Source organism: Homo sapiens, chromosome 5, assembly GCF_000001405.40.
Source record: "Homo sapiens chromosome 5, GRCh38.p14 Primary Assembly".
Lineage (NCBI taxonomy): Eukaryota > Metazoa > Chordata > Mammalia > Primates > Hominidae > Homo > Homo sapiens.
This window is the reverse complement of record NC_000005.10, coordinates 167,920,295-167,935,573: the sequence shown is the minus strand read 5'-3', so window position 1 is coordinate 167,935,573 and position 15,279 is coordinate 167,920,295. Positions and strand designations below refer to the sequence as shown.

Genomic DNA, 15,279 nt, shown 5'->3' with positions numbered 1-15,279 from the left:
CATTACTCTCCTTATCCTTTTGCACAAGGGACTGAGCTCCAAGTCCAAGGTCTGTTACATGACTGAAGGGGAGTTGCAATAACGGTTCATTAGATCACAGTTTCCAATAGCAACGGCTTAACCTGGGGAAACAGGTGTGGTGTAATTAACATAGCTGTCTGTTCAGTTTTGGCACCTGTGACCCACATCAGTCCTGTCCATCAGATTCCAGGGGGTTCCTAAATGATGGGGCTGGGAACTCACAGAAAAGAGAGGGATGTACAGAAAAATGGCACTGCCTAGGCTCACAATAGGGTCTTTGGCTCACAAAAGCTTGTCCCAGGAAGTAGACCAGGACAACATGTGAGAAGTGTGAGAATCCTAACAAGAGTGCCATCGGCACTGACAGATAATTCACGACACTCCATTGCACTAACGGCTCTTTTCACGCCTCTGTTTCTCTCTCGGTTTGTAGAGCAGTACCTTGTCCCATTGCTGTCTAGCTTTCTGGGGAACACTCTTGCCCTGGCTCTGTCCTCATCCCCTGAGGTGTTCTGACCTTTCCCGCTCGCACTCATGAGGGCACAACTAAAATGACACCTACTGTTTTCTTTCCCACCCCCTTTCTTTGCTTCCAGTCTCAGAAAGTCAATAAAAGCCATCCTTCTGCCTACCTGGACGACTCAAGGGCAGTGCAGCCTGCACACCCGTCCTGCCGAACGCGTACTAAGCTAAGCCTCCTCCGTTGCACTGGTCTTTGCTAGCTGCCCGTGATGCTGAGCACACACATGCCAGGCCCTGGAAGGCTGCCCTGAATGGGCTGGAGCCGAGTTTCCTTGTGGGAAGACGGGAAGGTTCGAGCGATATTGGTATGCCCTGAGTCAGACAGGCGAGTGCTATCTTTGTCTTCCCTCCCAGGGATCACACTGCCAGTCTGGTTAATACCCAAAGGCTCTCGACATGTCTCATTGCTCCAGCCAAACTCCCTCGTTCCAATTTCTTCCTCTGAAGCAGCTTTCATCGTGTTACATCAGTGGCTAGGCTTGACATCGGTACTTGTTTTCCAGAGGAAAACAGACCCTTTCAAGTACTTGCTTTTAAAGGTGACGACAAATGGGGATGTCTACACTCCTACCAGGTTACATTTTGGCTATAAGATGAGGTATGGTCTGAAGCCAAAACAATTTTAAAGAAAATGTTGGGAAAGGAAATTGGAATCTTTCCCCTTCTAGGAGGAGGGATGTCTTATTTTCTGAGTTAAATGCATTTGTTCCACCCTGTTACGATGCTGCTTTCTCTGATAGTTTAGGGATAAAACAATTAATGTGATATGGTGCTGGAAATTCAAAACATTTGAAAGTTTATAATAGGATCTGATGTAATATTATGTGGGCAGGTTTTACTCTTCTACAAAACAGTCTTTCTCAACCTAACCAAAGAAAGCTGTCCATGATAATATGTGTTCTGGGGGAATCAGTCCCAGTTTAACTTGATTTCTAAAATTGGTTTGATAATTCCAGATCAAGTACCACCTCCTATAAGGTGCAATCCTAGATGTCTTCGCCATATTCATATTTACACTTTTCTGTCATCTCCTTTGGCACACTGTGTGTGTCAAATTCATTTTCACACTTATTCATTAACAATATTGATGATAATGATAATAATAACAATTGCTAATTTTTTGTTAGCACTTTTACCACCTGCCAGCTTTTGTTTTAAGAACTTTACATAGGTAATGGTATTTAATCATCACAGTGACCATACCGGGGTGGAAGGAGATACCCATTATACACATCAGGAGGCTGAGGTTTAGAGAGCTTAAGTACCTTGCCTCAGGTAGGAAGTCATTGTCAGCCCAGGCCATCCCATCCCTGGCTCCTCACTCTAGTTGGTCCTGGGTCATGAATGTGCCTTTTTTTTTTTCACAATTTATTCATAAATGAATTAGTCGAAATGCGTGAACTTCCCAGACAAACCCAACTCACTGTCTGCAAACGCTCGATATTTTTATTTTAACCATGCTGTGTGGATATAATAATTCCAAATTGGAAGCTAAATTTGGCTGCATTTTTAAAGAGAGCATAATGAGCATAATTCAACATTTAATTGATGACTGAAAACCTATTAAGAGAAAACATATTGTACTATGCAGTCATATAGCTGTGTATTTCCTTTTGATTTATTTTGTCTCCATCCTTGAGGTCACGCTGTCAATCTTTGGGCTGTTTCTAGGCCTGCTGCTCACAACATCACACACTCCTTACCATTTTTGCTGTTCATCTCTGAAGTTTTTGTTTAAAAAAACATTTAATTTTTAAAAGTCATGTGTTAACAAAGAACAAACAAACACCTAGCTGAAGGCCTAACAAAGTATAGAGCAAATGCCTTCTAAAAGCCATTTTGAGAGCTTACAGGGCAGTTTTTGAAACTAATTTCTTTACTTGGGGTTATCGCCCAGAAAGTCAAAGTTGTCAAGGGCCTGTCAAGAACACTGACCGTGCTCTGAATTGTCACTTCGCTGGTTTTTGCACATGACCTTGTTTTCCCAGGTGGAATATAAAATTGGAAGGTGGAGATCACCTTATATTTGAAAAATGAATTCTTGCCACTGCTTAGGCTGGGGCTGCAAAGATGTGAACCCCCTTTCCAGGAGTCTAGAGTTTAGCTCTTTTCAATACAACATGTAGGCTGCTATGGTTGGTGGGGAAGACAGGAGACACTTGGTTTGGTTTTGGGGTTGGCAAACGGGCAAACGATGGCCACGGACCACATTCAGCCGCCGAGCTAAGAATGTTTTATACATTTTTGAAGGATTGTGAAAAAGAAGAATATGTGATAGAGACTGCGTGCAGCTCACAAAATGAAGCCTGAAATATTTTCTATCTGGATCTTCATAGGAAAAAAAAATTGCTGATTCTTGGCTTAGCGGATGAGGGAAGGCTTCCTGGAGGAAGAGGTACAGGCACTGTCTCATTATTAATTCAACAGGGTCTCCTTCAGTCTTACACACATATGTATGTATGTTTATTGTATATTATATGTATGTTTGAATGAATGAAAGATGAAACAAACAGGCATAACTGGTAGGGTCAATTAGTGTTGACCATGGACAACGATTCGACCCTACTAATTATGCCTGTTTATTTCATCATTCATTCATTCAAACATACATATACATATGAACACACATACACATGTGTGTAAGATGGAAGAAGACCCTGAATAATTAATAATGAGACAGCTACCATGAGCAAATACAGACTGTAAATCAGCACATTCACTTTAGCTCATTGAAGACACAACTGAGGAGAAAAGCCACAGAACAAGAAACAACCACCTTTCCTTTCGCAGGTCCCATGTTACATCCACTCACCATTAGTCTGTAGGGGACTGAGACCTTCACGATGGAATTGCAGCAAGATGTGTGCTGCTAAGCAGCCAACAGATGATGCCTCACAGAAGTTAACACTCTCTCCCCCTCCTGCACCTGCAGTCAGACTCCCGACTTACAACTGTTCACCTAGGCAGCTCAATACGGACCTCGGTGAAATCAGCAAACATATCTTTTTTCTTCTCTGGTGTTTTATATCTCGCCTACTATTTGGGCTTTATTGAAACAGAAATGTCACACTGCTATCTTTAGAACACTCATAGAGGTTGAACTAAGAACACTGTAGCTAGTGCCCTACACAAGAAAGTGAGGGGATGCAGATTTCATCTCTGCAACGGCAGAAGTAGACACAGCTTCAAAACAGCTATTAATCTGCGATAAGGGAAAAGGCATAAGGGCTCAAGATCTTCCTTCCAAATCCCATCAAAACCAAAGTTAAATAATCCAGCTATTTCTGAAGCAATTAGCAGTATATATTATTTCCCAACACACATGAACGAAATCATTTTGAAAACCAGTGCTCTTGACACGTTTCGCTATAAAATCAATTACTTTTAAAGGCAAGAAGCTCATTCTCCACCCGGGGAACATATGATACACCACCTGCCTGCTCCAAGAGATGTTTCTTGTTTTTTTTTTTTTTTTTTTTCCAATGGGTTTATGGGGTTGGGGTGCTCTCCCTTCTGGTATTATCTGCACATTTCAGCAATAAGGAATTTCAAACATATCCCAATATTCTACGACTATTATATGGCCCAATTTACAGGCCTTTTGAGTCTATACCATCAGGAGACTCTTTATCTTCTGTTAGGAATTAGGCTTTCCCAACCCGATATGATCTTAATTATCAGAAGTGCATTCTCACCCCAGTTCAATCTCTGACATCACAATAAAGTACAGTAGCTCCATTTCTGATGAGAAAAGCTGATTCAGGGTGATACTGTATATATCTGTTTGCATAGCAGGAATCAGGCCTGAATTTATTTTCCTAGAGATTTTTCATGGATAACATTTTCATTTTCATCAAAGGCAACCAATTTAAAAGTTCCTCTTGCTGTTGACAATCTCTATAGTTGGAAACTTGGGATGATTACAAATGGCAATGCTTTTCAAGGGGCAAAGGGTGTTATCTTATTTCCAGAGCTTATAGCATAAGGCATGGTCAGAATGGTGCTGCACTAGTTTGCGATCTTCTGCTTTTTTGTAAGAATTAAAGGCAAATAACTCCTCTTGGCTAAAGGTGGCACTGACAAAGTTGTAAACCTTATGCAACTATACGGTGTGCACACATTGCTTAATAAGTGTTTGAAATTGGGCATTTTCTATCAGAGCAAAAATAATAACTCTTTTGGGGCTAGTTTAAATGTCATTTAATGCATTTTCAGTTTAATTCCATTAATGGCACCTTGAAAAGAAATCATGCTTTTTTAAAAAAAAAAAATTCTCTTCTTTAGAAATGATTCACTCTGTCAGAAACTGGCTAAGAATTAAAAAAAATTCTACCAGCCTGGGCAATGTAGTGAGACTTTGTCTCTACAAAAATAAAAATAAAATAAAATAATAGCTGGCATAGTGGCATGCACCTGTAGTCCTAGCTATTCAGGAGGCTGAGGTGGGAGGATCATTTAATTCCTGGAGGTCAAGGCTACAGTGAGCTATGGTCAAGCCATTGCACTCCAGCCTGTGCAACAGGGTGAGACCCTGTCTCTAATAAATAAATAAATAAATAAATAAATAAATAAATAAAATTCTAAGAAAAGCTCAGCTAATTTAAATTAAACCATAAGTCAATTGTTAACAGACACTAAAAATGCCTTTTTAAAAACGATTCTTCATTGATTCTTCATATATTATCACTAACTTATTTGTTCCTATAGAAAACTGAAACATTTATGTCTAAGCATCCCTAAGCACCTTGATTAAAAAAAATAATAAGTGTTAAGAAATCTGTATTTGTGAGGATGTGTCTCAGGCCATGTCACGACTACCATTCAAATTACCTCTAAGAAAGCCCCCTCTATCTGAGATAGGCCAAACTCAATTGATCTTTTTACATCTCTGGTCTGCTCTGGAAGAAAGTAAAAACTGCGATTTCCCTGGAGTGCAGTAAAGAGATCTGAGCATGCCTCTTCTTTAAGCAATAACCATTAATATGGGTTCCGCTTGTACCAGACATCTGTAATGCTTTGGGCTGTATTTTCTGGCAAGATAACAGTGTTGTCTTGAGAATTGGTGCATGAAGAGGACAGAAGGCAGAGAGGCAGAGCTGAACTGCTCACTTGTGCTCCTATCTGAGGCACAACAACTCTTATCTTGCATGAAAACATAGCCCTGAGCCATAAGGAAAAATTTCCTAACTCTTCCCCTACCAATTTTGTCAGTCTCTATTTTTGCTTGTGGCTCATGGCTGACCTTGATTAGAATCCACTCTCCCATGTAGCAATTCGAGGGAATCTGAAATAAGATCACTGAGGAACATCTCTTAGAGTCCTTCAGGTCCAGAGTCCACTTCTTTGACAAGCCATTCTATGGGCAATCTTTCTGGAAAATGACCCAGAAATAATATTCCATAAATTCAACAGCCACTTATGAAGCATCTATTGTATGCCTGAGCCTGATTGTGATGCTAATAACATGGTAATATCTAAAATATAGTCCTTATCCTTGAGGAGTTGGTCCTTTAGTAAGAGAGACAGATGACTTCAACAGAACTTGATAAATGGAAAGAAAAGGGAATGTGCAGGGTATTCTGGAACTATCTTCTTCTGATGGTAACATAATAGAAACTCATATGCTTTTGCATAGACTCAGAATTTTCTAGACTAGGGCAATTTCATTGGCAAGCAAGATAGGCTGTAACATCCTCTAAGAGGCATTTCTCAAATGCTCTTTAAACAGTCTAGGAATCATCCTGATCTTCACCCTCCCTCCCTTCCTTCCTTCCTTTCTTCCTGCCTGCCTGCCTTCCTCCCTCCATCCCTCCCTTCCTTTCCCTTTTCCTTCCTTCCTTCCTTTTTCCTTCCTTCCCTCCTTCTTTCCTTCCTTCCCTCCCTCCCTCCCTTCTTTCTTTTCTTTCTTTCTTTCTTTCTTTCTTTCTTTCTTTCTTTCTTTCTTTCTTTCTTTCTTTCTTTCTTTCTTTCTCTCTTTCTTTCTTTTTTCTTTTCTTTCTTTCTTTCCTTTCTCTTTCTTTTTCTCTCTTTCTCTCTCCTTCCCTCCCTCCCTTCCTTCCTCCCTTTATTTCTTTTATTTCTTTTCTTTTTCTTTCTTTTTCCTTCTTTCTTCTTCTTTTTTTTTTTTTTTTTTTTGAGCCAGGGTCTCCCTCTGTCACCCAGGCTGGAGTGCACTGCAGCAAACTCCGCTCACTGCAACCTCTGCCTCCTGGGTTCAAGTGATTCTTGTGCCTCAGCCTCTTGAGTAGATGGGACTACAGGCACGCACCACCACATCTAGCTAATTTTTTTGTATTTTTAGTAGAGATGGGGTTTCACCACGTTTGCCAGGCTGGTCTCGAACTCCTGACCTCAAGTGATCCACCTGCCTCGGCCTCCCAAAATGCTGGGATTACAGGTGTGAGCCACCACACCTGGCCCACACATTCTTTTAACACATATTTTGGTGTCTCTTCTGTGCCAGGGGATGATATAAGCATATCGCCCTCCTTCAGTAATAACTAAATAATTAAATGTGCTGTTTTCCCATTGGATGCAATTTTGAGAAGACCAAAGCTCTAGCTATCTGCCTAACAATCTCTCTCTCTCCCACAGCTCTATCATGGTGCCTGGGATACGTTAGTAATATCCTTTATGGGCCTAGAGGAAATGAATGTCTTCAAATTTGCTAAAGCTTCATGTTATCAAATTAAACTCATTGTCATCCAATGTCCTATTAAGACTTGGGGTTTTGAGGGCCTTGAGAATATAATTGATAGGTTTTGATGTTGGAGTGAGAATGAAATGGGAACCATAGACATTTCGGGGGCTCCTAGAGAGGGTAAGGAAATGCCAATAGGAGAGACAAGAAATGACAAAGATAATTCTTACATTTGTCTTACCATTGTTATTATGCCCCCATACCCCAGAGAAGAAGGAGGGAGAGGAGGAAGAGTAGGAGGAAGAGTTGTGATTAACTGATTTTCCTTTTTGCTGAATGAAATAAACTGTATCAACCCACCTCCTGGACACTGTTGGGTTAACTGGGATAATGCTGGTGATTCCCTACCAAAATAATTTCAAAAAAGCATTTAGTCTTCCTACAGTATGCCTTTATCATCGTTGGCATATGTATTTCAGAACATCAGCCTCTCTATAGCAGGCTCCACCAGGCTAGGTCTGCTTTAGAGTTAGGGTGGGCAGGCACTCAGGACCCGGGCCAGAAATGGAGACTCAAGGGTGGCGTCCTGCGACCTCAGGCAAGCCAAGGCAGGAGCTCTGTTTTTTTCCTGACACCAACCTCACTCCAGCTAATGAGTCCCCTCACTCTGGTTCTGTCCAAGCCAGAGCAGCCTTCCTAGGGGATTTAAATAAAGAAACAAAAATACCCAGAAACCAGTTTCCAATACTGCTTGCTTTCTTCGAATGCAAACCACTTGCTCAAGGAGGCATCCTGCCCTCCCTCCCTATGTGCAGCACACACAAGGAAGCCTTCTGTATGGATTGGCATAAAAATAAGGATTGATTTATGCACTTAAGGCCACCAAGGGAGTGACATAAGCCCCGTTGGTGTCCCTGCATCCAGGAGACTACATTAGCACCGCTGCATTACCTGGAAGATGTGCAGAATCACATGTGGCTGACATCTCCCCCAACTCAGTGGCCAAGATGCTCACAGGCACTATTCACTCTACAATGTCAGTAGAATAATGTAACATTCAAGAAGAAGGCTCCTTGTATAGCAAGGACACTTTGGAATTATAAAACATTGGGAAGAAGTAGAAAGTGGCATAGAGATTTTTGACTTTAGACCGATGAACCCAGCCTGATGGAAAGGGTGACTTTTAAATTATGAGCCCCTATCTGTGGGGGAAATCAAAACAAAAATCAAAGTAAATTTTAAAACACCTCTGTTTTTCTCTCTCTCCCATAAGACTTGTATGTGCACACACACACACAAATGCAGGCATACACACGAATACAATGGGCTACCTACAAGAAGTCCAAATTAAAACCTGAAGCTGGCCAAAAAATTAAAAATTAAAAATATCAAACTCCAAGCTGTTAATACCAAATTTTGTTGTGTTTTAATTAAAGTTTTTAATTTGAGATAATTGTAGTGTCACATGCAGTTGTAAGAAATAAGACAGAGAGATGCCAAGTACTCTTTGTCCAGTTTCCCCCAAAGCTAGCATCTTATAAAATGATATCATAGTATCACAACTAAGGAATTGACGTCGACACAGTCAACATACAGAAAACTCCCATCGCTAAGACACTAAGGTCTTGTGTGTGTGTGTGTGTGTGTGTGTGTGTGTGTGTGTGTGTGTGTGGTGGAATCTCACTCTGTCACCCAGGCTGAAGTGCAGTGGCAGTGATCTCAGCTCACTGCAACCTCTGCCTCCTGGGTTCAAGCGATTCTCCTGCCTCAGCGTCCCAAGTAGCTAGCATTACGGGTGTGTGCCACCAAGCCCAGCTACTATTTTGGATTTTTAGTAGAGACAGGGTTTCCCCATGTTGGCCAGGCTGGTCTCGAACTCCTGGCCTCAGGTGATCTGTCCGCCTTGGCCTCCCAAAGTGCTGGAATTACAGGCATGAGCCACCTTGCCTGGCTAAGAAGGTCTTTCTTGTTGCTCTTTTGTAGCCATGCCCATTTCTCTCCCACTCTGCTTTTTAAAAACTAAGGGGAAGTTTACATATAGAAATCATTTCTTTTACAATGACAAGTTGAGGAGTATTTAATTATATATATATATGCAAAACAACAGAGAGGAATTCAACAAAATTTATAAAGAGGAGTATTTCTGTGTGGGAAGAATACAGGTGATTTTCATTTTCATCTTTACGTGGGTCTTTCTTTCCTATTTTTATTTCTAAAAATTGTATTCAGGTTCATCATACTCAACCCTGAACTTTATTTTTATTTTATTTTTCTTTTAACTTTCATTTTAGGTTTGAGGGTACACGTGAAGGTTTTTTACATAGGTAAACACGTGTCTTGGGAGTTTGTTGTACATATTATTTCATCACCCAGGCGTTAAGCCCAGTTCCCAATAGTGATCTTCTCTGCTCCTCTCCCTCCTCCCACCCTATTCCCTCAAGTGGACCCCAGCGTCTGTTGTTTCCTTCGTTGTGTTCATAAGTTCTTATCATTTAGCTCCAGCTTATAAGTGAGAACATGTGATATTTGGCTTTCTGTTCCTGCATTAGTTTGCCAAGGATAATGGCCTTCAGCTCCATGCATGTCCCTGCAAAAGACGTGATCTTGTACTTCTCATGGCGGCATAGTATTCCATGGTGTATATGTACCACATTTTAAAAATCCAATCTGTCATTAATGGGCATTTAGGTTGATTCCATGTCTTTGGTATTGTGAATAGTGCTGCGATGAACATTTATGTGCGTGCCTCTTTATGATAAAATGATTTATAGTCCTCTGGTTATATACCCAGTAATGGGATTGCTGGCTTGAATGGTAATTCTGCTTTTAACTCTTTGAGGAATCCCCATATTGCTTTCCATGATGGTTGAACTAATTTACACTCCCACCAGCAGTGTCTTAAGCATATAATTTGAAACGTTTTGACAAATACATATACCCATGTAACTATCGGCTTTCTCAGGATAGAGAATATTTCCACCACTCCAGAAAGTTCCCTCGTGCCCCTTTCCAGGTAATCCTCAACCCTCTGGAGGTCACACCCATGATTTCTATCATCATAAGTTAGTTTTACATGTTTTGAACTTATATAAATGGAATGATAAGCAAGTACTATTTTATGTCTGACTTCTTTCATTCAGCATAACATTTTTGAGGTTGATCCATGCTGTTGAGTTGTCAGTAGATTATTCCTTTGTATTGCTGAATAGTATTCTATTGTATGATGCTATTCAAGTCTGTTCATTCATTCACATGTGGATAGACGTTTGATTTATTTCCAGCTTGGGGTTACTGAGAAGCAAACCTGCCATGAACATTCACGCATAAATCTACAGTTGAACATATATTTTTATTTGGGGGGTCAATACTGATGAGTGGGATTGTTGGGTATATGTTTAACTGTATAAGAGAATGTCAAACAGTTTTCCAAAATGGTTGTACCAGTTTATACACCTACCACATGTAGAGTATGTGAGGTACTCTACATCCCTGCCAGTATTTGGTGTTCTCAGTCTTTGTAATCTTAGGCATTCTGGGGCTTATGAAATGATACCTAAGTGTTTTTTCCCTTTCTACCTGAAGGCATGGTAGAAAGAGGATCTTGAGACACATTTTGTAATATGGATTAGACATGAAGTCAGACCTCATTAAAGCCCCAGGTTTTGCCTCTAGGTGGAACCTTTAGACAAGACGTGCAATCTCAAGCTCTCCAGGCGCTTCTAATGCAGGTGGTCCTCCCACTTTACTTTGACAAAGGGTGCTGGGAAATAAGTTTCAGATGTTTCTGATGTATCCATTTCAGTGGAGTCCCTTTGGTTTTGATGAATGCGTTCTTCATGCTGCTGCCACCTTGAGTTGAAAGAAGTGCTAACCTATGTCATGAACTCCAGATATTTTACCATTTTAAAGCTATTGCCTGGAGAGATAAAAATTGGCTGACAGGTCAGACGCAGCCAGTTGGACATTCTTGCCTACTCTGCATGCTCCTGTCGAGAAAAACAACGTTTGGCCCATCAATGGGCATCCTATTGACTCGCCTGAATGGTTCCTGGCAAGCGCTCATGGACAGAAATGGATCAGAGCTGGTCCCCACGACACTGACAGAGGAGTCAGCAAGAGCACTTTGCGTGTCATCTGTATTCAGCTAACTGGGCCTGAGAGCCAAAAACTGCACCTGATTCTGCTCACCTGTAAGGAATATGCATGAAGACAAATATGGGACTGATGTTTGGATGTGGGGAGACGATGCAACCAGATCCCTGAGCTAAAATGAAGCATCCTGTCCTCCATATGGTCTATTTAAGCAATAAGAAAACAGAAATAAGGAGACCCGGGACTTGGACACTCTTTGTCAGCACTGACAACTGGTCACACATATAAACACAAAAGCATGCTCACACCACGGGCACAATTGCGAAGCATTAAGATAGACTTTAATGTATGCCTTATTCTGGCATGTTTCTGCTTGACAGTCACACCTTATCTCTTTATTTCAACGCACATGCACCCTGAGAACATTTGACGGAAAGGTGATGGCCGGGAAAGAGAGTTCGTTCTGGGTGGGACAACATAAGACAGTGGGAGATACTAGGCTTCCTTCCCGAGAGTTAATGCCCAACTCTCCCACTTTCAAGTGCAGGAGGGAGCTATGTGGGCAGAGTATTCAATAGATCCAGGGCCCTGATTTGCTTATTTGTAAAATGGAAGTTAAAACATTTATTTTACAGGGCTGCTAGGAGAAATCAATGAGCTAATACATGTGGCATTCATTTACCATGCAGACCAGACATGACTAGGACCTCAAGTGTGGACTGAATCTGACAACCTATCCCCTGGGGACATAATTCTGATTTGAAGTCACCCAAGCCGTCTTTCTACCTCAGCGGCGGAGGTTCTGAGATTATACAGGTAATTTAAATTATTTATGCATCAATTAATCCTATTTCTATTCAGATGCAAACAAGGCTGTTGGCACAGAGGTGGCAGGTAGACCAGGTGGTGTGCTTGGATCATAAATTAAAGCCTGAAAACATTCTATAACCTCTTCCCATGGCTTTTTTTTTTTTCTTTTTTGGAGACAGAGTCTTACTCTTGCCCAGGCTGCAATGCAGTGGTGCGATCTCAGCTCACTGCAACCTCCACCTCTCGGGTTCAAGCGATCCTCTTGCCTCAGCATCCTGAGTAGCTGGGACTACACACCACCACTCCCAGTTAATTTTTTGTATTTTTAGTAGAGATGGGGTTTTGCCATGTTGGCCAGGCTGATCTCAAACTCCTGAACTCAGGTGATCTACCTGCCTTGGCCTCCCAAAGTGCTGGGATTACAGACATGAGCCACTGCACCTGGCCCTCATGGCCTCGATTAGAGTATAAGAGACAGAGGCACTGGGGGGAAGCATCTAAACTGTCTTAAACCCAAAAACAGGTTTGAAAGTTCAGGTTTTCGGCCTGTAAGCCATTCTACTGTCTCCTTGCCCTTTCTTTGTTCCAGGGACATGATGGGAATCTATCTACATCCTGGTCTAGGAGGAGCAATAAACAAGGAAGACAAATGCTGATGGATCTGAAAGAGGAGGGAGTGACTGCTTACACCGAGGTAAGGCTAAGGACAAGGCTTCAAAGAGGCAGGCACAGCTGAGCTGGCCCTTGAAGGATGGGTTGGTGTTCACAGGATAATTAAGGAGGAGGGAACATCCTGGGCAGTGGAAAGAGAGTGACTGAGGAGAAGCAGGAAGTGGCTGAGAACCAAGGACTGCGCCTGATTTCTGCTCACCTGTAAGGGATATGTATGAAGACAAATACAAGAGTGATGTGTGCAAGCACAGAGAGAGGAAGGTGAGATGGGAGTGGAGTGGTAGACAAGGCAGAGTGTGAGGACTTTCCCTGGGCTTGTTGCTTCCTTGAGGGCAGGATGTGTGTTTTATCAGCATCTAGCACAGAGTCAGAAAGAAAAGGAACATGGTTGAATTGGGTTCTAGGGAGATATGGTGATTCATGATAGAGGGGCTGGAAAAGGGAGACTATGGAGCTGCAGGGGCCAATTTGGAGGATGTTGCTCAAGACCCAGCTACTGATGATGAAGTCTGAACTACGACAGCAGGTGCACTTCAAGAGCCAGGGACACAGTCAGTGTACACTAAGGAGGGGACATGATGGAAATCAGAAGTCTCATGGATATGGGTCATGAGGAAAAGGAAGAACCAAGGATGACTGCAGGTTTCTAGCTGGGGATTTCAAAGGGAGGCATATGCTAGTAGAACCTAAAAGACCATTTTGCCAGTTTTCCTTTTCTCCTTATGTACAAAGACAGTTCCTACTTCATGACTCTTTTTTCTTGATATTTCAACATTTCCCTCCAATATGGCTGGCCCTGTCCACTAGAGTTTCTGACTCATGAGACTTCACTGAAATGTGTAAGAAATCAGATAAGTGTGATTGTGCATCCTGGCTCTGCTACTTGCAAGCTTTGGTAGCCAGAGAAAGTTCTATAATCCTCTCAGCCTTCATCTTTGTATTTGTAAAGTTGGGGTAATACTAGTATTCCCACAGGGCTGTCTTCATGAAGATTTCATGAGGTCAAGTAATCTTTGTACAATGTCTGTTCATAAGTGCTTAATAAACATTAACCATGATTTTCATTGTTTTATTTTTATTATTAATATAATTTCTGTCATGCCTCCCATCGAGCACCCTCCCTGAGATACATTAAGAACTTCTCTCTTCCTGTCTGGCTTCCCGTCTATCATAGTTTGTTTTTCTCATTTCTCAAACAGTTATGTACCACCTGGGGGTCTTGTTAAGAGGCTGACTTTAATTCAGGGAGTATACATTTCTCAAAAGCTCGCGGGGACTGACAATGTGCTGGTCCATAGACCACACTTTGAGAAACATGGACCTAGATTCTCCTCTCTGTGGATATTCTTCACATTGACCAGGAAACTCTTACTTTTAGAACAAATACTTTCATTTGTAATCACTACACAGTTTTCCCATCTAGGAACTCAACTCCTGCGAATGAGGCCAACGGAAGATCAGCTAGTCTTTAGAGACTGTAGAATATTTGGAACCAAAGTAGGCGTTACAACACAAACTCTCTTTTTTTCTGTACACAGCGAGTGAAATCCTTGCACATCCAAATGTAATAAATATATTTTTCAATGTCTGTTCCATAATTTATCACACAACTTCTCTCTCTGCTTACTGGAGCTTATCATCAGGACAACACCAATCGGATAAGATGAAGACGCTGCCAGTAATTTTTAATATTATGGTGAAATCATATATTTTCTTAGATGGTTGATTTGATATAAGGCCTAAGCCTCAGTCCATAAATCTTTGGGTGCTTGAGATTTGCAGTAATTTCATATTTAATCCATAGCCTATCAATATATCATCAGGACCCGAGAAATGATTAAGAAGAATTTGGGAGATAAGCATGGGTGAGAGAGGATAATAACCTAGTTTCAAACATATTTATAGACAGAGGACCCTAGAATGGGAAAAATATGTCAGGTGTTCATTTTTATTGTCGCTGATTCTTACTCAACTCCTAACTCACACCCTTGCTCCTCTGGGCTGTTTGCTTAGTCACTGTGGATGCTGTCATGTTATGAATGGCACTAAATACACAGAAAACTGTTCCTGTTTTCTGGCAGTCTTACCCAGTTAAGCCTGTAGTCAAGTTTCAAGATCTCCCCCAATTATTTATCTCCTTAGAGTTTATAATTTGCTGCGAGCTGGGTGTGAGAATGTAAGTGTCCTACACAGTCTGGGACTTGGCTTTATTTGCTGCTGTGCCCTCAGCATCTACAATAGTACCTTGCCCATGCTATTTGTGTGTGTGTGTGTGTGTGTGTGTGTGTGTGTGTGTGTGTGATGGAGTTTCGCTCTTGTTGCCCAGGCTGCAGTACAGTGGCACGAGCTTGGCTCACTGCAACCTCCACCTCCCGGGTTCAAGCAATTCTCCTGCCTCAGTCTCCTGAGTAGCTGGGATTACATGTGCCCGCCACTATGCCCAGCTAACTTTTGATTTTTTTTTTCTTTTTTTTTCTTTTTTTTTTAAGTAGAGACAGGGTTTCATCATGTTGGCCAGGCTG

The 15,279-nt window shown here is 41.6% G+C and overlaps 1 protein-coding gene across 33 annotated transcripts in view; it reads right to left on the bottom strand.

The window, feature by feature from the left end:
* The window catches only part of TENM2 (teneurin transmembrane protein 2), a 1,285,129-nt gene that overhangs the window by 328,584 nt on the left and 941,266 nt on the right, over positions 1 to 15,279 (bottom strand). For 3 of the 33 annotated variants that reach the window (XM_005265952.3, XM_047417434.1, XM_047417435.1), the window contains exon 1: positions 654 to 707. The exons of the other annotated variants lie outside the window; for them this stretch is intronic. The gene's annotated coding sequence lies outside the window, so the exon portion shown is untranslated. Of the gene's footprint in view, positions 1 to 653; positions 708 to 15,279 lie in introns of those variants that run through there. 33 annotated transcript variants of the gene reach the window in all.